Below are 26,058 nucleotides of genomic sequence, written 5' to 3' on the forward strand. Positions count from 1 at the left end.
GTATTAGTTATCTGTAACTGCATAAAAATTATCCCCACGTTTAGCACTTAAACAAACATCTTGGTTTGTCTCTCACAAGGCTGCAATCATCTCAGGAGTTCCACTGGGGTGGATCCCCTTCCAAACTCATGTCTTGTTGGCAGGATTCAGTTGGAGGCCGTTGGAATGAGGGCCTCAGTTCCATGTTAGCTGTCGGCTGGAAAGTTCTGCTTCTTGTCACATGGGCCTTTCCAAAGAACACCTCACCTTCTGAGCAGGAAAGCATGAAAGTTAAGAGTGGGCGAGGAGACAGAAGCCAGAGCCTTTCTGCCACCAAACCTCAGGTGTGCTCTCTCCCTTCCCCCATGTTCTACTCCTTAGAAGCAGGTTACTAAGTGCAGCTCACACCCAAGGACAGGAGGTTAAACAAGAGTGCACACCAGCGGGCAGGCTTCACTGGGAACCATCTCAGAAGCTGCCTACCACTAGCTTTGTTGTTTCAGATGAAAAGCTAATGACTGAGGAAGTGACTGCCTGCACACATGGATTTGAAGGGCGCAGGGCTACACATCAGCACCAGCTGCACATTTCCTATCTGTTCCTTGTGCTCATTCTCAGAGTGGAATTTTCTTATAAGGTGTAAACACAACAGTGATAAAATAACTCAAGGGTACAGAAAGAATTCCCCTACTATTCACATAATTTTTTGGTTTGAAATTTGTGAATACTTCTCTACACCACCACTTAATAGGACCAATATTATCAATGGAAAAATAAAGCAAGATTTGGAAAGCATGGCTGAATACCTAGATTTCTGATGAAAATTCCTTTAGCAATCAACAACTACTCAAAATGTTTCAACATGCTTGTAATCCCAGCTCTCTGGGAGGCCAAGGCAGGATTGCTTGAGCCCAGGAGTTCGACACCAGCCTGGGTAACACAGTGAGACTTCATTTCTTAAAAAAAAAAAAAAAAAAATTCAGCTGGGCCAGGAGCAGTGGCTCACTCCTGTAATCCCAACATTTTGGGAGGCCTAGGCGGGCAGACTGCTTGAGCTCAGGAGTTCCAGACCAGCCTGGCAACATGGCCAAACCCTGTCTCTACAAAAATAATTTTAAAAAATTAGCCAGGTGTGGTGGTGCGTGCCTGTAGTCTCAGCTACTAGGCAGGCTAAAGCGGGAAGATCTCCTGAGCCCAAGAGGTCGAGGCTGCAGTGAGCTGAGATTGTGCCACTGCACTCCAACCTGGGTTACAAAGCAAGACTGCCTCAAAAGAAAAAAAGTTTCAATAAAATGTGTACTGGCTCAGAGGCCTAAATGGCATCAGATATTGTGGAGTATGACAAAGGTTGGAGGGTAAGAGAACTTTTAAATAACACTTGTTTCTTGATCCTAAATAACACAAAGTAAAATTGCTCTGTAACAATTTACAGAGACAGACCAGTGGTAAACCTTCTTTCTTCTTCCTCTGTGCCCTGATCTGTGCCTGATGCTTGTGAAACTCAGAGGAGTTTCTGCCTTCTTTTGCTCCCCACTCCGTGTTCACCTGTCTTGAGGTATACTCATCCATGTTTCTAAGCTGTGTTATGGCTGGTGCACTGTGCACCCCGAAAGAACAGCTTGGCTCTCCAGCCCACTCTGTGACAGTCCTCACTGCCTCTTCAGTGACCGGATGCAGCAGACTGCAACCTGCAGGCAACCTGGGACAAAACGCATTTTTTTCTTTAGTTCATCTTCACTTGAAGATTAATGAATTTGAAAACATAAAATGGTTCTAAGTGTAATAAAATAAAGTTGCCCTTATCATAACTAGGATTATTGTATTTTGGAAGCTAGTGGATAGGAAATGCCAACTTTGCCCCGGAAGGAAATACAGATTCTGTTGGTATAAGTGATCTAAATTATTTGCCACTTCTAGACTTTAGAAATTGAGGCAAGCAAGGAAATCAGAACAAGTTTTTAATTCTAGTTCAAGAGTCAAAATTCTTTTCTATAAAATGCCAAATCTAGGATTAAGCATATTCTCATATGGCCTGGAAGTTCATCTCTAATAAAAATCTACTGCTTTTAAAAAGCTTACACTAGACAGTGCATACTAAACATGCACCCTAGTCATTAGCTTTTTAGGCTTTGGTAGTCATTAAACCAATTGCAAAAATACATTTTTAAAAAGTTAAAGTAAAGCAAATTCAGAGTTTTGAATTATTAGCAGAGGTATATAAAACATAAGTGATTTTGCAGAAAACTAAAATATCCAAGATAATCTTGTTATTTACAGTAACTCAAACTCCAATCATTCTCCAAAACTCAAGAGATATGGCACACAAATATTTAATTTCTAGAATACACGTCTCCTTTAGATTTAAAAAAGATCAAAAAAGCAAGAACACAGGAGCTCTTCCTGCCTAGTATCGAGCCTGTATACTGTTAACAAACATTGCTTAGTAAGAATTCACGGTGCCAAGGAATCATGGCAGCAAAACTGTAGAACACAATGTTACATACATTTAAAGAAAAGGGGAAATATAATGCATTGAAGAAATTACAGAATAAATTACATTTCAATTCAGAATGATTGACAAGCTTACATGGGCTGCTAAACAGAAGTGCTTGACTTTTAAAACGTACAGCTGGGCTGGGCGCCTTGGCTCACTCCTGTAATCCCAGCACTTTGGGAGGCCGAGGCGGGCGGATCACGAGGTCAGGAGATCGAGACCATCCTGGCTAACATGGTGAAACCCCGTCTCTACTAAAAATACAAAAAATTAGCCGGGCATGGTGGCGGGCGCCTGTAGTCCCAGCTACTCGAGAGGCTGAGACAGGAGAATGGCATGAACCCGGGAGGCGGAGCTTGCAGTGAGCCGAGATCACGCCACTGCACTCTAGCCTGGGTGACAGAGCGAGACTCTGTCTCAAAAAACAAAAAAACAGAAAAACAAAAACAGAAGGCCAGGCGCGGTGGCTCACGCCTGTAATCCCAGCACTTTGGGAGGCCGAGGCGGGTGGATCACGAGGTCAGGAGATTGAGACTATCCTGGCTAACACGGTGAAACCCCGTCTCTACTAAAAATACAAGAAATTAGCCGGGCATGGTGTCGGGCGCCTGTAGTCCCAGCTACTTGGGAGACTGAGGCAGGAGAATAGCGTGAACCCGGGAGGCGGAGCTTGCAGTGAGCCGAGATCGCGCCACTGCACTCCAGCCTGGGCGACAGAGCGAGACTCCGTCTCAAAAAAGAAAAAAACCAGAGTACTGGGGTTCTTGAGACACTGGTGCTGAGTTCACTTCTGTGGGCTTCAGTCTTCTCATTCATACACTTGGGCTAGATAGGTCTTTCTTGGATCTTTAAAACCACCAAAAACTCAATGATCCTTCTGGGTCTAATCAGTGTGATTCAAGGCATATTATTTTTAATGTCATATAATTCATGTCACTTGCAATAAAGTGACATGAACAATATATAGCAGACCCCATTTTGCAATAAGAGTATAATCTCCTTTGAGAATTATTCCTGAAATCACAACCAGGCTTCTCCCGTCCCCTCTCATCAGTGAACACACTCCTCAAACAGGGAAGCATTCTTCTCATCAGACATTGGCAGAACCATACAAATGTTCAGAGGCAGACTTTCAGGAGGTTCTTTTAAAGTCTAACAATTCTATGAAACATGACAAAGACACTGACATAAGCGCTGTCGGGTTAAAGGAGTCTTTGAAATCTCTTTTGTGATGTGAAATGTGAACATTCTTTGCCTTTTGTTAAACGTTTAGATTGACACTCTCCCCACACACAAAAGGAATATCACATCTTATTCCTACATGCTTTAGATGTTGGGATTAGTAGGTTTCCTGCAATAGATCTGTGGGCATTTGGGGGATGATGCGGTGAATTGCAGATGGAAGATAATGGTGACAGTATTATACAGGTATACTTAATGCTGTTTCTGAATTGAAGATATTTATCCCTTCCAGATTTGCATTTTGTGTTCAACACTGGGACACTGTGTGGGGTACCCTGCGTGACAGTTAATACTGTGTAATGAATTCCACAAGATTGCTAAATTTCATGTCTTCTGTTATTAAATTTTATGGCTTTCATTTTAGTAAGCAATTTATAAAGTTTTCTCACTGATCTCAAAGATTAAAGGCTGTATATACAGCAATTAGCATTATTCTGGCAATAATGCCTAAGATTTATTAGTTCCATTCTTACCTCTTCCAAAAGCATAGAGAAGTTTAATAAATAAATGAGATCTAATGCCCATCTATGATTCAATGAAGGTGTATAACATGTGACAGGCTAAGGCTGGCTTAGCTATTGATCATCTGGTTCTTTAGTTCTATCCCTGAAAATACAGACTGACCCTAAACCAATGTTCCTAGACGACATTAAGTTGTGCCTTCACTGGGTTAAGAAGCACCATTATAACCTCTGTCTCCATTTTGCATCTTTTTTACATTCTGAAGAAATGTTCCTATATACAGACCCTCATGCTGTAGTTCAAGAGGAAATTAGCCTCTGCACATAAGTTTTTTTACTGTGAAAAGCAAAAAGTGTTTTAGCAGCCAGAAAATTCAGAACCAAACTTACTGTCTAAATGTTACTTGCTACATTGACTCGTATAAAACTGTGTACTTCTATTTTACTGTTATGTCTTCTTTAAAGGCTCTGTATTTTGTAGGCCTCTTCAAGACCTTATAAATAGAAATCAAATTTCAAAAACAAAAATGTAGTTACAAGTGACTATAGTTTAGCATACTGTATTATTTGCTATTATAATCTAAAGATTAAATATAGGTTTAACAGCTATTTTAAAAAATGAATAATTTTACATAGAAAATATGCTAACTTCCCTTTTATCATCATAAGATCATAGTTGTTGTTATATTAAGTATTTATTATGCTGTTCAAATGTTAGCTGGTGTAAGTTACCTACTAAAATGCTTATTCAGCATAACTACTGAAAAAACTTAGCTGTCTCTGGTATTAGTTCATTGAATATTATATGCATCAAGTCTTTTCATGTTTCCACGTTATATTTTTAAAACAAGAAACTAGGCTGACTTAAAAAAATTTAAATCATGAATACATTATGTATAGGTTTTTCTGTCTCCTAAATATTATCTACTTTTTTAAAAAACAAAAATTTTGATACAAGAAAGCACTCTGAGGCAGTATATGTGTATTAAATTTAAGGTCACAATTTTCACTAATCTGAGAAAACACATATATGTAATATTTAAAAGTTAATGAAATCCAGTGAAACTTCAACTTATTTCATTGAGAATTTACTAACAAAATATAGAAAACAAGAATTTACCTCTTTTAAATGGCATGTCTGTATTACTTACAATTTGATAAATGAGTTCCTTTCCATACATACCTTAAGATCCACAACCTTGGTGGCATAAATAACATGATTAAAGGGTCAGGTACAATGTATATTTTAATATGGGATTTGTGTAGTGATTTAGAGCATAAATATCACACAGTGAAAAATTTATCACAAACTAAATACAGTAACAAAAGGAAAGAAAGAGCTTATGTCCACATTTCCAAGGTCTTTACAATAAGTTATAGCGTCCAGGTCCAACACAGCATATTTGCATACAAAGCCACTGATGTGAACACTGAAAGGAATCTGTCCTGTAGGTCTTTCATCTTGATTTAATAAAGTTTGTACAGTATCAAATAATATCAAAAGTCTAAAAAACACAATGAGCTTTTATGTTTATAAATTATTGTTTTTATACCATAAAAAAAGTCAAAAGTGCAGTTTAAAAAAAAGTGGAAGTTGTTATTCTTGATAAGAGCTAGAAAAATGTCATGTCCCAGTTAAGAAGCAATCTCAAGGCTCATCCAATTTCTAAGGAATTTTAACTGGCATCTAACCTTGGTTACCATATGCTGTAAGCAAAACCAACAGAATGGGAGCTATGTAACAATCTAGCGAAGAGAAACATTGCAAATAAATGTAATTATAGGCCTCTCCCAAAGTGAATGAAATGATTCTTTACTGGAATGAATGGGCTGTCACTGAATGTGACTATACTTGGTAAACTTCAAAGGCTTGCTAGAAATTTTTATCTTTTTCAAATTTTTAGTCATAGCTGACAATGGTACATATATCCCAGGATTATGAAATTTTCTAGTATAACTGAGAAAAATATAATTGAAAGGTAATAAATCATATCATCTATTATTTCTCACAGAAAATAAGGAATAAGGGCCCAGTAATTAAAAGGCAGAAGTACAGAGATTAGCCAAGAAGAAACAGATGGGTGAAATACAACTGGGTCTTAATTGGCACAGTAACTAGCTGTATTTTGACACACTCAAGAACAAATGCCTATACTGAAGTATGTGGTACATTAACCACTTGTACTTATGTAAGAAAATGAAATGGTAAAACGATAGGCTTATAAAACAAATTAAATTTAGAGAAAGGAAAAATAAAAGGAATGTAAAGAAAAATCAAGTTTATTGTGGCATCAAAATATTGACAGAGCTGTTATCAGTCAAGAGCAGTCTTCTTGTTGCTAAAACGAAGAGGCAGCCTGAGCCTGGCTCCATCCAACCACCTCTTCTAATGCTCTTTAACTGGCAGTGCTTCCTATAAATGACACCAAGCAATAGAGATGATTATTGTTTCCACTGAATAGAGTAAGTTCCTTGATTGGTTTAACATATATAGACTGCCTGAGAGAATAAAAACATCACCATACAATAGGTTAACGGTAAATCAAGGTCTTCGTAGTTGTGATGGGAGAAAAGGGTTGGCTGCTGGAAACAGTATGGTGCCCTGGAGGCTGCGTACGTACACACCCTAAGAATTCACATCACCATTAGCAGAAGATTAGAAGTCAATGGATATGGATGCTTGTGCAGAATCTTCTCGCCCCCTGACATAAATTTCACAGGGAATCTCCTCCATTACTCGGTCTTCCAGGGCCTGCTCAGGGCACTCATGTCCCTGTTTGAAAGTGTAACTACTTTTCTTGAAGGTGCTATTAAATGTTTTCATTGGCTGTGGTTGTGCAAAGTCATTTCGGAAAGGAAGTTCCATGGAACTGAGGTTGGTCCTGCTTTGTTTGACGCTGGAGGCCTGCGACCCACAGTGGTGGTCGTGGATGCAGCGGGAGGCGGTGGAGGAGCGCCGCATCTTCTGGTAGTTGTCCAATTCTTCCGACAAGTCTGCCAGGTCTGCAGAAATCTCTTTGTCCCTTAGTGAAAACAGTTCATAATGAGGAGGATCAAACACTTCTTGGAACCCGGTTTTATTAAAAGCGGTTTTGCAAGCCATGACCTTTTTTCGAGGCTGTTTCACTTGTACTAAAATAGAAATAATGAGAAGGACCAAGACAATCCCTGAAGTAATGCCAATAATTGTTCCATGAGTCTTAGTGATTTGTTCAAATACTCCTGCTTTTTTCTTTTCTGCAGAAAGAAAATGAGAAACGTTAAGTTTTCAAAATACATTAATATGAATCCTGGTACAAATTAGTAAGGTATTTTTAGGTAAAACAGAATACTTGGGCCAAATATACTACAGACAATGCAATTTACAATTAGGTTTTTAAACAAATAAAACAACCCTATTATAATTTCTGGTTAAAGTTACCAATCGCAGTACTGATAGATTACAGAAGATAAAGTTCTTGGTCCGTTTCTTCAGAAGACACATAAATGCATACATTCTGCAAATCAAATCAAATATACAAATATAGACTATGCCAAATAAATACTCTTGTTCTATCAAGTTTAGCTTTCTGCTTTATGGTAGGTTTGACCAACTGCTGTGTTCAGGTATACCCGCATCTACTGATGACCCCAGGGAGAGCAAACTAACATCATCAGACTAACCCATCCAGTATATTATCATGACCTACTGTTTTTGAATGATTAACTGAAAACACTTCATGTCGAGTATTTACGACAGCCATATCAGATTAGATCACCTTTCCACAGTAAGATATTTATTGAACTCTTACAGCAGGGGTCCTCAACCCCTGGGCCACAGACAGGAACTGGGTATCACTGCAGGAGGTGAGCTGCGAGTGAGCGAGTGAAGCTGCATCTGTATCTGCTGCTGCTCCCCATCACTCGCATTACCCGCAGCACTGCCTCCTGTCAGATCAGCAGTGGCATTAGATTCTCACAGCAGCAGGAGCCCTATTATGGATAACAATAATGGATTATTATTAGTGTGCTTACTTCTGTTAGGAAATAAACTCCTGGCTTGGAGGCAGAAGTCCAATAGAGTAGTATTAAGTATTTCAGTGTAAAGAAACAAACAAAACATATGAAAGTCAAGAAGTGAGGCAGCTTATTATTTTCCCATTCAGTATGACAGAAGCCCAAGTGCATGTGAGGGATATAGGCTGTGAGCTCCTTAGGAGAATCTAATGCCTGATGATCTGTCACTGTCTCTCATCACCCCCAGATGGGACTGTCTAGTTGAAGGAAAACAAGCTCAGGGCTCCCACTGATTCTGCATTATGGTGAGTTGTATGATTATTTTATTATATATTACAATGTAATAATAATAAAGTGCCCAATAAATGTAACGCGCTTAAATCATCCTGAAACCAACCCCCCTGCCCCACCCCTGTTCTGTGAAAAAATTGTCTTCCACGAAACCAGTCCTTGGTACCAAAAAGGTTGGGGACTGCTGTCTTAGAGGATAAAAGGAAGATTACCTTTAGTTCTTACACAGTGATCTGACAACCAGCTTGCAGACATTCAACCATTACCACAAGCTGCATTTATCTTTCAGTGAGTACACACTGGGAATACAGCATAGGAAATGTTACGAAATAAAAAAAGCAGTTCATAGAATGTTTCTGCTTTTATGTTTTAAGACAGAATCTGCAAGTTGACTTTTATTAAATAGTGTTTCCACATACTTCAGGCTAACCTCTAAATTATTTTGACAATTAAATAAGGTATGTTTACAATACAAATGACAAACTTCAACAACAGTAACAAAATAAGGGCAAGGCATACCACGATATACTTTTTTTTTTTTTGGATGAGACGGAGTTTTCACTTTTGTTGCCCAAGCTGGAGTGCAATGGCGCAATCTCGGCTCACTGCAACCTCTGCCTGCCGAGTTCAAGCAATTCTCCTGCCTCAGCCTCCCGAGTAGCTGGGATTACAGGCGCGTGCCACCACGCCTAGCTGATTTTTTTGTGTTTTTAGTAGAAATGGGGTTTCACCATGTTAGCCAGGTTGGTCTTGAACTCCTGACCTCAGGTGATCCGCCTGCCTCAGCCTCCCAAAGTGCTGGGATTACAGGCGTAAGCCACCGCGCCTGGCCACAATACACTTTAGAACAACTTAACAGTTTGTAGACAAAAAATGCTTTTGTTTAGAGTATGCTTTTCACCACATCCCAGGTCTATGATCCATTTAAAAGAACATTTACATGTTTCCATTTTTGTCAAAGCAGCTATGCTAGGCTGGGCGCGGTGGCTCATGCCTGTAATCCCAGCACTTTGGGAGGCCGAGGTGGGCAGATCATGAGGTCAGGAGATCGAGACCATCCTGGCTAACACAGTGAAACCCTGTCTCTACTAAAAATACCAAAAAATTAGCCGGGCGTGGTGGCAGGCACCTGTAGTCCCAGCTACTTGGGAAGCTAAGGCAGGAGAATGGTGTGAACCCGGGAGGCGGAGCTTGCAGTGAGCCGAGATTGTGCCACTGCACTCCAGCCTGGGCGACAGAGCAGGACTCCGTCTCAAACAAACAAACAAAAAGCAGCTATGCTAAGCACTGTTGTAGAAAATAACATTTTAAGTTCTTAATGAAGGGCAATAGCCACTCTTTTCTCAAAAATGTTGGCCTTTACATCAAACTCACCTTTACAATGATTTTCATCCCAAGGGTATGCACAATTTTGGACACCATTACAGACTAAAGAATTATTGATGCACATGTTGCTATGGCAAAAGAAAGTGCTGCTTGTGCAGGGAGCTGCAGGAAGAGAAAACAGTGTTGCAAAGAGCAGGCAGACCACCTGATTTTATTTCATACATAACAAATCTGACTTTATAAGAGTACTTTCTTACCGCAAAGGCCTTTCCTTGAATAAACTCTGTACTATTCAAACAATAAGACAAACGTCAATATTCTCTGATGCTGGCTCATTCAAACTTTTTCTTATGCTAGGCCCCAAAAGGTCACTTTTAATGTAATGATAATGAATGTATTTTCAATGGTTCTTATGGAACCAGTATACAGTCTGGTAGATTTTTTTTTCCAAAACTTTGAAAGACAATGTTGGCAAGGATGTGGAGACACTGGAACCCTTCTGTACTGAGGGTGAGAATGTAAGATGGTGCAGTCATTGTGGAAAATTATCTGGAGGCTCCTCAAAAAGTTAAAGATAGAATTACCGTATGATCCAGCAATTTTACTTTTAGCTACCTACTCCAAAGAACTGAAACCAGAAACTCAGTTACTTGCATACCAATGTTCACAGCAGCATTATGCACAACAGCCAGAAAGTGGGAACAAACAAAATGCCCATTGATGGGTGGATGGATAAACAATGTAGCATCCACAAGACAATGGAATGTGATTTGGTCATAAAAAGAAATGAAATTATGATACATACAACATGGACAAAGCCACATATTTCACTTAGCATAATTATTTATAATTAAATTTTTTTTTTTTTTTGAGATGGAGTCTCACTCTGTTGCCAGGCTGGAGTGCAGTGGCATGATCTTGGCTCACTGCAACCTCCACCTCCTGGGTTCAAGTGATTCTCCTGTGTCAGCCTCCAGAGTAGCTGGGACTACAGGCACGAGCCATGCCTGGCTAATTTTTGTATTTTTAGCAGAGACGGGTTTTCACTATGTTGGCCAGGCTGGTCTTGAACTCCTGACCTCGTGATCCACCTGCTTTGGCCTCCCAAAGCGCTGGGATTACAGGTGTGAGCCACCGTGCCCAGCCCTATAATTACATATTAATTATTGTATGAGAAATATTGTATGATTCCACTTATTGAGGTGCCTAGAAGAGGCAAACTCATAGAAACAGAAAGTAGAATAGAGATTACCAGGGTCCAAAAAGAGGAAGGAATGGGGAGGTGATGTTTAATGGGTACAGAGTTTCAGTTTGGGAAGACAAAAACTTTCTGAATATGGATAGTGGTAATGGTTGCACAATAATGTGAATGTACTTAATGCTACTGAACTGTATACTTAAAATGGCTAAAATAATAAATTTTGTTATGTATATTTTACCCATAATAAAAAAAATCCACTCTTCTGGATTCAAAAAAATTGTTTTAAGGACACTAAAGGTATATGGAATATATACCATGTAATTTCCTACTTGTATAAATTGTTCTTTCAGCCTGGAATGGCTCCTTCTTTCTCTTTGTGGCGGCCACCTACTCATCTTTCAGTATCATCTCAAATGTTACCATCTGTGAAAATCCCCTTGCTTCTCTGGGGTAGCCAGTCGCTCCTGTGTGTTCCTATCACACTCCACATACTCCTCTATTTGGCACCTATCCTTGTGTATGTAAACCTTTGTTAGAATGGATTATTATTAGTCAGTGTGCTTACTTCTGTTAGGAAATAAACTCCTGGCTTGGAGGCAGAAGTCCAATAGAGTAGTATTAAGTATTTCAGTGTAAAGAAACAAACAAAACATATGAAAGTCAAGAAGTGAGGCAGCTTATTATTTTCCCATTCAGTACGACAGAAGCCCAAAAACCTTAGCAATTTTTTTTTCTTTTTTTTTGGAGATGGAGTCTCGCTCTGTTGCCCAGGCTGGAGTGCAGTGGCATGATCGCAGCTCACTGCAACCTTTGCCTCCCAGGTTCAAGCAATTCTCCTGCCTCAGCCTCCCCGAGTAGCTGGGACTACAGGCACGTGTCACCATGCCCAGCTAATTTGTGTATTTTTAGTGGAGGTGGGGTTTAACCATGTTGGCCAGGCTGGTCTTGAACTCCTGACCTTAAGTGATCTGCCTGCCTCAGCCTCCCAAAGTGTTGGGATTACAGGCGTGAGCCACTGTGCCTGGTCCAAAAACCTTAACAATTTTGACTTCTAAAATTATAATTGGACAAAATGTATTTCCTGCCTAAAAGATTCTGTACTTTTGATTTTCAGAAAATATTTGCTGCACCAAGGAGGGAGAATCGAATATTGCTCTATGTTATACTGACATATCTCAAATATTTTTTATACTGTTTTCAGAAGGTTTTTCAAGATAGAGTATCTAAAATTTTACTTGACTAATGAGATTTTTTTCTAAATATTATCTTTCTTTTAATAAATATATAATAAACATAATTTTAAAAACAGCCACGAGCATTATTTTTCTCCCCTCCAAAGAGAAGACTCTTCAGTGTGCAGTCATAGGAAGTTTGGAATATCTGACCACATTCTCCAATTGCAGTACATTATCAGTAATAAAACTGACATGTTTTCATTCATCTGCCTTACCCACTTTGTCTATTTCTCAATGGGCTGTGAACATGGGCTGTAAAAACAGGCATTTATTAGGTACCTAGATAACTCCAAAACATAATCTGACAAATGTAGGTCCACGGTGAATATCCAAAATTGCTTTGCTATTAAGAGTGTGACCATAATCTCTCTTTAAGCAGAATGCCCTAAACGGTAGTATTCACCCAAGTTTCAGTACAACAGGTTAAAAATCTATAGTCATTATGAACTAGGGTTCATTTATCCCTTCCCCCTCCTCACTGTAAGCCAACCTGCAGTTGAGTTTAGACTTCTTTCTCTATATACAGTTCAACAGTCTTCACACTAAACTGTTAAGCTTGTTCACCTGCGGAGTACTCAGCGGCTGCAGTTCAAGTATGAGAACCCCTTGGTGGCTGACATGACTGAAGAGTCCACAATAGCTACGAACTGTGAAGGAACTTGGGAAATAGCACCATGCAGCAGAAAGCAGAAAAAAACAATGGGCTAGTAATCAATAAAAATGGTTTCTATTATCAGTTAATCCACATTTTAAGGTATTTAACCTCCTTGGGCCTCGGCTTCCTCTTTTAAAATGAAGGGGATGGAATACAGTGTATCTCAGACTTCTGGTTCCAAAATTTGATGAGACTATGCAATCAGTGGTCTCAATCATGATACTTCTGTTTTAGACTTAAGTTCAAATGATGTATATATCTAATAAGTAATTTATCCAGAGACTGCTAACCTGTCAAAATGGTATCACTAAAACCACTGAAATAATTACTTCATGGTTCTTAGATAACATTGATGGTTCCAAGGCTCATCGGAAAGACAACAGGTATCAGTTACACAAACATGCCATCATATTGAGGGCTGGGGAGTGTATGGTGGTGTTTTATTCACTTTACAAAATTAGCTACAAAATTAGCTAGTGCACCTACTTGGGTTTGTCATAGATATCATAAAACTGTATCATACAAATGGGGGCACCGAAAAATACTAAAAAACGGCCAAGAGAAACATATAGCATTTTTGATTTCCTCATTTCTACAAACTGGAGTTTCTTTTTTTATTTATATATCACACTGTAATTCTATTACATACAATATAATTGTATATTATGTTCTAATTCTACTACCTATTTTATCTAGTTCACAAAAACGGGATGCAGGAAAGATAAGCCATTTTCAAGACAGGCTGAATGAGGTAATAAACAGCACTGTGGGTCCTTGACATTCGGATTTCATGAATAAAACTACCATTGGTTTTTAAGGTTTATCTACAGAACATCATGTGACCCCCCCCTTTGATGGCTCTTTATAACTTCAAAGGTGGCCTTAAAGACAGGTTTACCACTCCGTGTTCATCACTGATTGAGCAGTGAGAGGAAAATGTCTTCAGTTTTTATTATAAATTCTTTACAACTGCTCTCCATATTATTTAAAGTGATTAGAAAACAGCACTGATATTGTCAGCTTTTGTTTCATAGAAATGTGAGTTATATTAATAATTACACCTACATTAACCTTTATGGCTTTTCACTGGTTAAGCATGGCTGGTGGAAATGACAATCAAGCATCAGTTATTGATATGGGATTTTAATGGTATGCTTCAATTCAAATAATAAAATGATTGAACTATAAGTCTTTATATAAAAAAAGACAGCAAAAATAGTGCCAGTTATGAACTCCACTTATAGCCTGAGAACTCTCTACCTATTGCTGTTCCTCACTGCTGGGTCATGGTGTGGAAAGGAAGGGGAGGGCTGGAATTTTGTGTCCCCCCCAATTTCAATGAGATGTGGCAATGATGCTGAAGGATGGCTGTCCTTCAGCAAAGCCTGCAGGGGGCCTGCAGGCAGTATGTCACCGAAAATCACATTACGGGTTTATTCTAACAAAAATATCTGCTGCTGCTTTCACAGTTCTAGTCCTAGAAATTATTTTCCTAAAACTGTTTCTTTCTTAAAGAGTGAGGTATATATTAGTATTCAGTGCCTGGGAAGAAGCCAAATATATCCTGATTGCTATTCTGTATCATTCATTTTAGCAAAATTATTCTATTTCAGTTATATCTGCAATCTACAATGGGTAGGCATGAACTGAATCTCTCATGCAGAATTAGCCCATTTATATAAACCTCTTCTGAAATACTAATTGTTTCCATGGGTGAAATTGTAACAATTACAAATCACAGCTTAGAGGAGAACAAAAGAAATAGTTCAATAATTTGAATTAATGATAAGCATGAAAAAATTTACTAATTGGAGCTCTGAAATTTGCTTTCCAAATGGAGGTTTTTCAAGCTGGCTCTTGTTTTTAAAAAACTCTGTTAAATCCCTTATTTTAATCACACACACTTTTTCTGAAGGGGCGGCTTTCTTCTTTTTCTTGGGTAATAAAGCTAAATTTGGGATATGAAGTTAAATCTATTGCAGCCTTACAATTTAAACTTATTCTTACATTTGGTGATTAGTTAATATAAAGATATCACTCGAGGGAGGCTTTTCACCTGTTTAATTATCAGATTTGTATTAACAAAAAAAATTAGTGTATATAGAGAAAATACCTTAACTAAAACACATTAGAGAAGAATTTCTCATCATGGATATAGACCAGTGCTGCCCAAAATAAATATGTGAGTAAAAAATGTGAGCAAGTAGCCACATTAAAAAGTAAAAAAGAAATTGGTGGAATTAATTTGACTTATATAGTTTATTTAACCCAACATATCAGTGCAGAAAGAGTTAACATTATAGCAGGCCTGAGGGTGCTACCTTTGAAAGGTTCTGATTGCAAGACTGGCCCTTGGGTGCCATCCATTCCCTAACAGATAAGGGTACTTCATTGTACCTAGACTTTGCATAAAAGATGTCATTTATGCCAAATACTTGCTTTCCTGCTAAGAGTCTGAAATTTTGATATATGCAAAGCAGAGGGTGCCTATGTGACCAGACTCTGATAAGAACCTTGGGTGCTGAGTCTCTAATGGGCTTCTCTGGGCAGAAACACTGCGTATGTGCTACTGCATTTTTATTTTTTTTTTGGAGACAGAGTCTCACTCTGTTGCCCAGGCTGGAATGCAGTGGCATGATTCACAGCTCACTGCAGCCTCAACCTCCTGGGCTCAAGTGATCCTCCTGTCTCAGCCTCCAGAGTAGCTGGAACCACAGGTTTGCACCACCATGCCCAACTCATTTAAAACTGTTTTGGTTTTTTTTTTTTTTTTTGTAGAGATGTTGTCCCATTATGTTGCCCAGGCTGGTCTCAGGCAATCTTCCCACCTTGGCCTCCCAAAGAGCTGGGATTACAGGCGTGAGCCACTGTGTCCAGTCCATGCCCATTTGCTGTTGTTGGAGAAACAGGCATACTCAGAATGCCCCTCATGGAAAGGACGCGATATGTGGACCTGCGCAAGGATCGGTCCAGACCCTGGCAGCCTCTCCCTGGCGGCTCCCTTTTGTTGTCCTCCATCCCAGCTGTGAGTGCAGTACAAATAAATGCTGGGTTCTAGAGTCCTTCCAGCAAGGCACCTAACATGGGGATGCTGTTGGAAGCCCCGAAACAATTTCCAAAACATTCTCATTTTAACATATAGCATAAAATACTGTTAGTGGGATACTTTACATTCTTTATTTCATACCAAGCCTCTGACATCTGGGAGGCGTTTTTATAATGATAGCACACGTCGGTTTAGACGGGCCATGTTATAAGTGCTCAGAGGCTGCAGGTGGCTGGCGGACACTGGACTGGACAGCACAGGTGCACAGAAACCGAGGGAAAAATAAGAAGGCTAAAAGCCTTTCTTGTTAGCTACGTCTTTGTATAAAGCACTGATTTGTAGTTATTTGACACAGTGAAACAGCCTCTGCATAGTTTTTTAAGTTTGAAAAGTTCTCAAATTTAAAAGGTTTTAGAAACATGCTCAGGTTCTCTCCCTGGTGAAGGAAGCAGCAGCAGCAAAGTTCACTCTCAGCAAATGCCACCGTGAGCTCCCGACATTTCCAGCTGCCCAAGGAGCTCACCATGTCCAAAACATGACACTTTCCCCATCTTGTCTGTTCAGTTTTCATCTTTCAGTCAGACTCAAAATTGTAGGTGACTGACTCACTCTTTTAGCCTTCATTGAATGGGTCATTGAATCCTGTGGATTCCGTTTCCCCACTCTTCTTTGTCCTCACTGCCCCTGCTTAGGTTCAGACCTCCATGGCTTCCCGCTGTGACTATGGAAGTAAACTCTTAACTCATATCCATGCCCCAGCTAAGGCACAGCGCTAAAGATGTTACTTTATAGTGTCAACTCCCTGATGCCTGTAAGATGAGTCTACATTTTCCCTTTGATTTTTTTCAAAGGGCTTCATCCAGTTTTAATCTACCTTTCCTGCCTCCTTTCTCTGCCACTCCCTCTACCACACTTCTTGTGGCCCACCTTAGCTCTGCTTCAATGCTTTGCTCATTATTGCTTCTGTCTAAAATAACAGCCTCAATGAACATTTCTACCTTCAAAATATATCTACTCTCAAGGACACACCCAAAGGACCTGCACTCAAAGACCACCTCCTCCGTAATTGATGCTGCCTGTTTGAAGGAACTTGGATATTTAACAGGAGAACCCTTTATGTCTCAAAGGGTCTTCGTCACGGTCAATCCTACACTGTCACTATTTGCCTAGGTCACCTTACCTAACTGACTGGAAAACCCTTTAGGGCAGGTACTGTTCCATGCATGTTTGTATCTTCCTAGCATCAAACACAGTACCTCACATGACAAATGCCAAAGAAATGCATGGAAAGCAGGTAGGAAGGCTGGTTGACCAAATTGGCTTCATAACCCAATTGACCATTTGGCATCTCATGAAGACCTTTAAAATTCTAGATAGAAGAGTTCAGCTATAAGAAAGCCTGTATATGGTCATAAACAGTCATGATTTTAATACAGAATCCATGGAATAATACAATGCCTTGAAATTATAAGATTGAGAAAAACTATTAATTTTCAAATTTGTCAAAAATATCTGATATCTTACTGTCACACTTTTGTATTTACAAACTCTGTATTTGCACAAATCATACAGCTTACCATTACACCATACTCATCAGTCAGGATATAAAGGCTAAAATATTTGTTTCTTTTCATGACAATAGATAAGATATACCACTTATAATTTTAAAATATATGTGATGTGAACATACAAACTCAACTATATCTGGGCAGTTCAGATGTGTCTTAAAATGGTATTATTCTTCATACAGGAGATGAATCTGAGGAAACAGTTGGAAGAGGCTAACCAGCCCTGCCCAAATGTAGATTAAAGTTAAGGGCCATTCAAATTCAAGTAAAAAAATGATGGTATTTTGGAAAGCAGATTTTGCCAAAGCTACTGGTAATATGATCTGCACTTATGATAAGCAAAATAAAAAAAAATTAGGAAGTACTGATATATCACTTGGATTTTTTTTTTTTTTTTTTAATCCTTAGCTAATTGGCTGAGGAGTTTAAGGAGATAGAAAAGCAAAGAAATATAACAGAAACAGTTTTTCCTGGTGGGAATGTATTCACTTGATTTTTCAGGAACCTAAAGGAAGGTTTGTTTTATTTATTTACTTATTTATTTATTTATTTATTTATTTAGAGACGGAGTCTTACTCTGTCACCCAGGCTGGAGTGCAGTGGTGCAATGTTGGCTCACTGCAAGCTCCGCCTCCCGGGTTCACGCCATTCTCCTGCCCCAGCCTATCGAGTAGCTGGGACTACAGGCGCCCGCCACCATGCCCGGCTAATTTTTTGTATCTTTAGTAGAGACAGGGTTTCACCGTGTTAGCCAGGATGGTCTCAATCTTGTTGACCTCATGATCTGCCCGCCTTGGCCTCCCAAAGTGCTGGGATTACAGGCATGAGCCACCGCGCCTGGCCATTTATTTTTTGAGACGGGGTCTTGCTCTGTCACCCAGGCTGGAGTGCAGTGGTGCAATCTTAGCTCACTCCAACCTCTGCCTCCTGGGTTCAAGTGATCCTCCCATCTCAGTCTCCTGAGTGGTGCATACCACCACGCCCAGCTAATTTTTGTATTGTTAGTAGAGATGGGGTTTCACCATGTTGGCTAGGCAGGCTGGTCTCAAACTCCTGAGCTCAAGCGATCCACCCGCCTCGGCCTCACAAAAGCTGGAATTACATGTATGAGCCGCTGTGCCTGGCCTAGGAACCCAAAGAAGAATCCTAAAATCTGTCTTCAAAATTTCTCCACTTTTAAGTTGTGGTGGTTGTCTGTGTATGAGCTACAACCTTTAATAAGAAAAACTTCCCACATGCTTACCAAATAGTGAAGATAACTTTTAAAAACTTAAGCAGTTCATAAAAACACAATCTCCATAGTAACCATAAGAACATATCTATAAAATATACACAAAAGGAAATGCGAAGGGAATCAAAACTTGTCACTACAAAAAAAAATCAATTAAAGAAAAGAAGGCAGTAATGGAGGAAATGAGAGACAACAAAGCTATAGACACACAGAAAACAAGTAGCAAAGTGACAGAACCTTCCTCATCAGCAATTAAACATAAATAAACTCTCCAATCAAAAGAAGAGATTGCAGAATTGATGGGAAAAAACAAGATCCAATTATATGCTGCCTGTAGGACACTCACTTTAAAGATATAAAAAAGTTGAAAGTAAAAGGATGGACAAAGATATTCCATGCAAATAGTTGCTAAAAGACAGCTAGGGGGTGGCAAGACTAGTCTTGGATAAAAAAGGACACGGTATATTGATAAAAGGGTCAATTCACCCAGAAGATATAACGATTATAAACATATATGGACTAAAAACAAAGGAGCCCTAAAATATATGAAACAAACATTGATAGAACTGATGGGAGAAGTAGACACTTGTACAATAGTAATTGGAGACTTCAACATTGCACTTTCAATAAAGGATAGAATGACCAGGCAGAACATCAATAAGAAAATAAAGGACCTGAACACCACTATAGACCAAATGGACCTAACATATACAGAAAATTCCACCCAATAACAGAAAAATGTAATTTTTCTCAATTACACATCAGACAGTCTCTAGAATAGACTACGTATGTTCAGCCACAAAACAAGTCTTAATATATTTTAAATGACTGAAATATAAAATTTATTTTCAAATCAAAATGGAATGAAACTAGATATCAACAACTGAAGGAAAATGAAAAAATTCACAAGTCTGTGTAAATTAAACTACACACTCTTACACAACTTTTAAAGCTGTGATTTCAAAAAAGAAATCCACGGGAAATTATAAGATACCTTGAGACAAATGAAACCCAAAACATGCCAAAACTTATGCAGAGTACTAAAAGCAGTAGTAAAAGGGAAATTTACACCTGTAAATGCCTACATTAAAAAAGAAGAAACAACTTAGATCAATAGTTTAACTTTATACCTTAAGGAACTAGAGAAAGAAGACAAACTAAATCCAAAGCTAGCAGAAGTAACAAAATAATAAAGATTTGAGTGACAATAAATAAAATAGAAAACAGAAAAAGAGCAAAAACCCAAAACTTGATTCTTTGGACAGATCAACAAGACTGACAAACCTGTGGCTAGAATTATTAAGAACAAAAAGACTCAAATTATTAAAATCAGAAATGCAACTGGAGACATTACTACAGATCTGACGTATATAAAAAGAATCATAAGTGAATACTAAGAACAACTGTATGCCAACAAACTGACAACCTAGAGGAAATGGATGAATTCCTAGAAACACACAATCAAAACTGCATAATGAAGCCAAAGAAAATCTGAATAGGCCTAAAACTAGCAAGGAGATTAAAAAAAGAATCCAGAACTTCTCAACAAAGAAAGGCTCTGGATCACATGGCTTCACTGGTGAATTCTACTAAACATGTAAAGAATTAACACCAATCAGTTGATTCCTGGGCAAGATGGCCGAATAGGAACAGTTCCAGTCTGCAGCTCCCCATGAGATCAAGGCAGAAGGCAGGTGATTTCTGCATTTCTAACTGAGGTACCCAGCTCATTTCACTGGGACTGGTTAGACAGTGGGTACAGCCCACGGAGGACGAGTAGGAGCAGGGTGGAGGGTCACCTCACTTGGGAAGCTCAAGGGGTCGGGGAACTCCCTCCCCTAGCCAAGGGAAGCCATGAGGGAACGGCGCATTCTGGCCCAGATACTACACTTTTCCCATGGTCTTCACAACCCGCAGACCAGGAGATTCCCTCGGGTGCCTACACCACCAGGGACCTGGGTTTCAAGCATAAAACTGGCGGCCATTTGGGCAGACACCGAGCTACCTGCAGAAGTTTTTTTTCATACCCTAGTGGTGCCTGGAACGCCAGCGAGACAGAACTGTTCATTCCCCTGGAAAGGGGGCTGAAACCAGGGAGCCAAGTGGTGTAGTTCAGCAGATCCCACCCCCACGGGGCCCTTCAGACGAAGATGCACTGGCTAGAAATTCTCACTGCCAGCACAGCAGTCTGAAGTTGACCTGGGACGCTTGAGCTTGGTAGGGGGAGGGGCATCTGCCATGACTGAGGCTTGAGTAGGTGGTTTTCCCCTCACAGTGTAAACAAAGCCACAGGGAAGTCTGAACTGGGCAGAGCCCACCGCAGCTCAGCAAAGCTGCTGTAGCCAGACTGCCTCTCTAGATTCCTCCTCTCTGGGCAGGGCATCTCTGAAAGAAAGGCAGCAGTCCCAGTCAGGGGCTTATAGATAAAACTCCCATCTCCGTGGGACAGAGCACCTGGGGGAAGGGGCCGCTGTGGGTGCAGCTTCAGCAGACTTAAACGTTCCTGCCTGCCGGCTCTGAAGAGAGCAGCAGACCTCCCAGCACAGCACTCGAGCTCTCCTAAGGGACATACTGCCTCCTCAAGTGGGTCCCTGATCCCCATGCCTCCTGACTGGGAGATACCTCACAGAAGGGGTCGACAGACACCTCACACAGGAGAGCTCCAGCTGGCATCTGGTGGGTGCCCTTCTGGGACGAAGCTTCCAGAGAAAGGAAAAGGTAGCAATCTTTGCTATTCTGTAGCCTCCACTAGTGATACACAGGCAAACAGGGTCTGGAGTGGACCTCCAGCAAACTCCAGCAGATCTGCCGCAGAGGGGCCTGACTGTTAGAAGGAAAACTAACAAACAGAAAGGAATAGCATCAACATCAATAAAATGGGCGTCCACACATAAACCACATCCAAAGGTCACCAACATCAAAGACCAAAGGTAGATAAATCCATGAAGATAAGGAAAAAACACTGCAAAAAGCCTGAAAATTCCAAAAACCAGAACTCCTCTTCTCCTCCAAAGGATCACAACCCCTTGCCAGCAAGGGAACAAAACTGGATGGAGAATGAATTTGATGAATTGACAGAAGTAGGCTTCAGAATGTGGGTAATAACAAACTTCTCCGAGCTAAAGGAGCATGTTCTAACCCAATGCAAGGAAGCTAAGAACCTTGAAAAAAGGTTAGAGGAATTGCTAACTAGAACAACCAGTTTAGAGAAGAACATAAATGACCTGATGGAGCTGAAAAACACAGCATGAGAACTTCGTGAAGCATATGTAAGTATCAACAGCTGAATGGATCAAGTGGAAGAAAGGATATCAGAGATTGAAGATCAGTTTAATGAAATAAAGCGGGAAGACAAAATTAGAGAAAAAAGAATTAAAAGGAACGAACAAAGTCTCTAAGAAATATGGGACTACGTGAAAAGACCAAACCTACGTTTGACTGGTGTACCTGAAAGTGACAGGGAGAATGGAACCAAGGTGGAAAACACTCTTCAGGATATTATCCAAGAGAACTTCCCCAACCTAGCAAGACAGGCCAACATTCAAATTCAGGAAATACAGAGACCACCACAAAGATACTCCTTGAGAAGAGCAACCCCAAGACACATAATCGTCAGATTCACCAAGGTTGAAATGAAGGAAAAAATGTTAAGGGCAGCCAGAGAGAAAGGTCGGGTTACCCACAAAGGGAAGCCCATCAGACTAACAGCGATCTCTCTGCAGAAACCCTACAAGCCACAAGAGAGTGGGGGCCAATATGCAACATTCTTTTTTTTTGTGTATGTGACGGAGTCTCGCTCTGTCACAATCTAGGCTCACTGCAACCTCTGCCTCCTGGGTTCAATGGGTTCAAGCAATTCTCTCAGCCTCACGAGTAGCTGGGATTACAGGCGCCCACCACCACACCTGGGTAATTTTTGTATTTTTAGTAGAGATGGGATTTCAACATCTTGGCCAGGCTGGTCTTGAACTCCTGACCTCGTGATCCACCTGCCTTGGCCTCCCAAAGTGCTGGGATTACAGGTGTGTGAGCCACTGCGCCCAGCCTCAACATTCTTAAAAGAATTTTCAACCCAGAATTTCATATCCAGCCAAACTAAGCTTCGTAAGTGAAGGAGAAATAAAATCCTTTACAGACAAGCAAATGCTAAGAGACTCTGTCACCACCAGGCCTGCCTTACAAGAGCTCCTGAAGGAAGCACTAAATATGGAAAGGAAAAACTGGTACCAGCCACTGCAAAAACATACCAAATTTTAAAGACCATTGACACTATGAAGAAACTGCAACAACTAATGGGCAAAATAACCAGCTACCATCATAATGACAGGATCAAATTCGCACATAACAATATTAACCTTAGATGTAAATGGGCTAAATGCCCCCAATTAAAAGACGCAGACTGGCAAATTGGATAGAGTCAAGACCCATCAGTGTGCTGTATTTAGGAGATCCATCTCATGTGCAAAGACATACATAGGCTCAAAATAAACAGATGGAGGAATATTTACCAAGCAAATGGCAAGAAAAAAAAAAGCAGAGGTTGCACTCTAGTCTCTGATAAAACAGACTTTAAACTAACAATGATCAAAAAAGACAAAGAAGGGCATTACATAATGGTAAAGGGATCAACGCAACAAGAGCTAACTATCCTAAATATATATATGCACCCAATACAGGAGCACCCAGATTCATAAAGCAAGTTCTTAGAGACCTACAAAGAGACTTAAGACTCCCACACAATAATAGTGAAAGACTTTAACAACTCATTGTCAATATTAGACAGATAACGAGACGGAAAATTAACAAGGATATTCAGGACTTGAACTCAGCTCTGTACCAAGCAGACCTAATAGACATCTATAGAACTCTTCAACCCAAATCAACAGAATGTACATTCTTCTCAGCACCACATAACACTTATTCTAAAATTGACCACATAATTGGAGGTAAAACACTCCTTAGCAAATGCAAAAGAACAGAAATCATAACAAACAGTCTCTCAGACAACAGTGCAATCAAATTAGAACTCAGGATTAAGAAACTCACTCAAAACCACACAACTACATGGAAACTGAACAACCTGCTCCTGAATGACTATGGGGTAAATAACAAAATTAAGGCAGAAATAAATAAGTTCTTTGAAACCAATGAGAACAGATACAACGTACCAGAATCTCTGGGACACAGCTAAAGCAGTGTTTAGAGGGAAATTTACAGCACTAAATGCCCACAGGAGAAGGTGGGAAAGATCTAAAATCGACACCCTAACATCACAATTAAAAGAACTAGAGAAGCAAGAGCAAACAAATTCAAAAGTTAGCAGAAGACAAAATAACTAAGATCAGAGCAGAACTGAAGGAGACAGAGACACAAAAAAAAACAAAAGCAATGAGTCCAGGAGCTGGTTTTTTGAAAAGATTAACAAAATAGATAGACCGCTAGTCAGACTAATAAAGAAGAAAAGAGAGAAGAATCAAATAGACACAATAAAAAATGATAAAGGAGATATAATCACTGATCCCACAGAAATAGAAATTACCATCAGAGAATACTATAAACACCTCTACGCAAATAAACTAGAAAATATAGAAGAAATGGATAAATTCCTGGACACATACACCCTCCCAAGACTAAACCAGGAAGAAGTTGAATCCCTGAGTAGACCGATAACAAGTTCTGAAATTGAGGCAGTAATTAATAGCCTACCAACCAAAAAAAGCCCAGGACCAGATGGATTCACACCCAAATTCTACCAGAGGTACAAAGTGGAGCTGGTACCATTCGTTCTGAAAGTATTCCAAACAACAGAAAAGAGGGACTTCTCCATAACTCACTTTATGTGGCCAGCATCATCCTGGTAACAAAACCTGGCAGAGACACAACAAAAAAGAAAATTTCAGGCCAATATCCCTGATGAACATCGATGTGAAGATCCTCAATAAAATACTGGCAAACTAAATCCAGCAGCACATCAAAAAGCATATTTACCACAATCAAGTCAGCTTCATCCCTCGGATGCAAGGCTGGCTCAACATAAGCAAATCACATAAACAGACCCAATGAGAAAAACCACATTATTATCTCAATAGACGCAGAAAAGGCCTTCTATAAAATTCAACACCCCTTCATGCTAAAAACTCTCAATAAACCAGGTATTGATGGAACGTATCTCCAAATAATTAGAGGGATTTATGACAAACCCACAGCCAATATCATACTGAATGGGCAAAAGCTGGAAGCATTCCCTTTGAAAACTGGCACAAGACAAGGATGCCCTCTCTTACCACTCCTATTCAACATAGTATTGGAGGTTCTGGCCAGGGCAATTAGGCAAGATAAAGAAATAAAGTGTATTCAAACAGGAAGACCGGAAGTTAAATTGTCTCTGTTTGCAGATGACATGATTGTATATTTAGAAAACCCCATCGTCTCAGCCCAAAATCTCCTTAAAGCTGATAAGCAACTTCAGCAAAGTCTCAGGATACAAAATCAATGTGCAAAAATCACAAGGATTCCTATACACCAATAATAGACAGAGAGCCAAATCATGAGTGAACTCCCATTCACAACTGCTACAAAGAGAATAAAATACCTAGGAATACTACTTACAAGGGATGTGAAGGACCACTTCAAGGAGAACTACAAACCACTGCTCAAGGAAATAAGAGAGGACACAAACAAATGTAAAAACATTCCATGCTCATGGATAGGAAGAATCAATATCGTGAAAATGGCCATACTGCCCAAAGTAATTTATAGATTCAATGCTATCCCCATCAAGCTACCATTTGACTTTCTTCACAGAATTAGAAAAAACTAGTTTAAATTTCGTAGGAACCAAAAAGGAGCCTGTATAGCCAAGACAATCCTAAGCAAAAAGAACAAAGCTGGAGGCATCATGCTTCCTTACTTTCAAACTATACTACAAGGCCACAGTAACCAAAACAGCAAGGTACTGGTATCAAAACAGATACATGGACCAATGGAACAGAACAGAGGCCTCAGAAACAACGTCACATATCTACAACCATCTGATCTTTGACAAATCTGACGAAAACAAGCAATGGGGAAAGGATTTCCTATTTAATAAATGGTATTGGGAAATCTGGCTAGCCATATGCAGAAAACTGAAACTGGACCCCTTCCAGAAACTGGACCTTATATAAAAAGTAACTCAAGATAGACTAAAGCCTTAAACATAAGACCTAAAACCATAAAAACCCTAGAAGAAAACCTAGGCAATACCATTCAGGAGATAGGCATGGGCAAAGACTTCATGACTAAAACACCAAAAGCAATGGCAACAAAAGCCAAAATTGACAAATGGATCTAA

General features: G+C 39.8%; 1 protein-coding gene across 7 annotated transcripts in view, besides 1 other annotated feature; it reads right to left on the bottom strand.

Annotated features, from left to right (window-relative positions):
• The window catches only part of NETO2 (neuropilin and tolloid like 2), a 66,243-nt gene continuing 41,499 nt past the window's right edge, over nt 1,315-26,058 (bottom strand). For 3 of the 7 annotated variants that reach the window (NM_001201477.2, NM_018092.5, XM_017023740.2), the window contains exons 8-9: nt 9,838-9,951; nt 1,315-7,413 (exon numbers count right to left, since the gene is read on the bottom strand). In NM_001201477.2, coding sequence (NP_001188406.1) covers nt 6,833-7,413; nt 9,838-9,951 — 695 coding nt within the window. In that variant the 3' untranslated portion in view covers nt 1,315-6,832. Of the gene's footprint in view, nt 7,414-9,837; nt 9,952-24,559; nt 24,593-26,058 lie in introns of those variants that run through there. The other 4 variants (XM_047434728.1, XM_006721292.2, XM_006721291.2 and 1 more) reach the window with 2 other exon arrangements.
• Nucleotides 2,458-3,222: an enhancer, noted in NCBI's record as "H3K4me1 hESC enhancer chr16:47112757-47113521 (GRCh37/hg19 assembly coordinates)". NCBI's record gives its function as "activates a minimal SCP1, AML or CMV promoter by ChIP-STARR-seq in primed H9 embryonic stem cells {active_cell/tissue: H9 hESC(primed)}" and the evidence as "EXISTENCE:reporter gene assay evidence [ECO:0000049][PMID:30033119]".

Source organism: Homo sapiens, chromosome 16 (genome assembly GCF_000001405.40).
Source record: "Homo sapiens chromosome 16, GRCh38.p14 Primary Assembly".
NCBI lineage: Eukaryota > Metazoa > Chordata > Mammalia > Primates > Hominidae > Homo > Homo sapiens.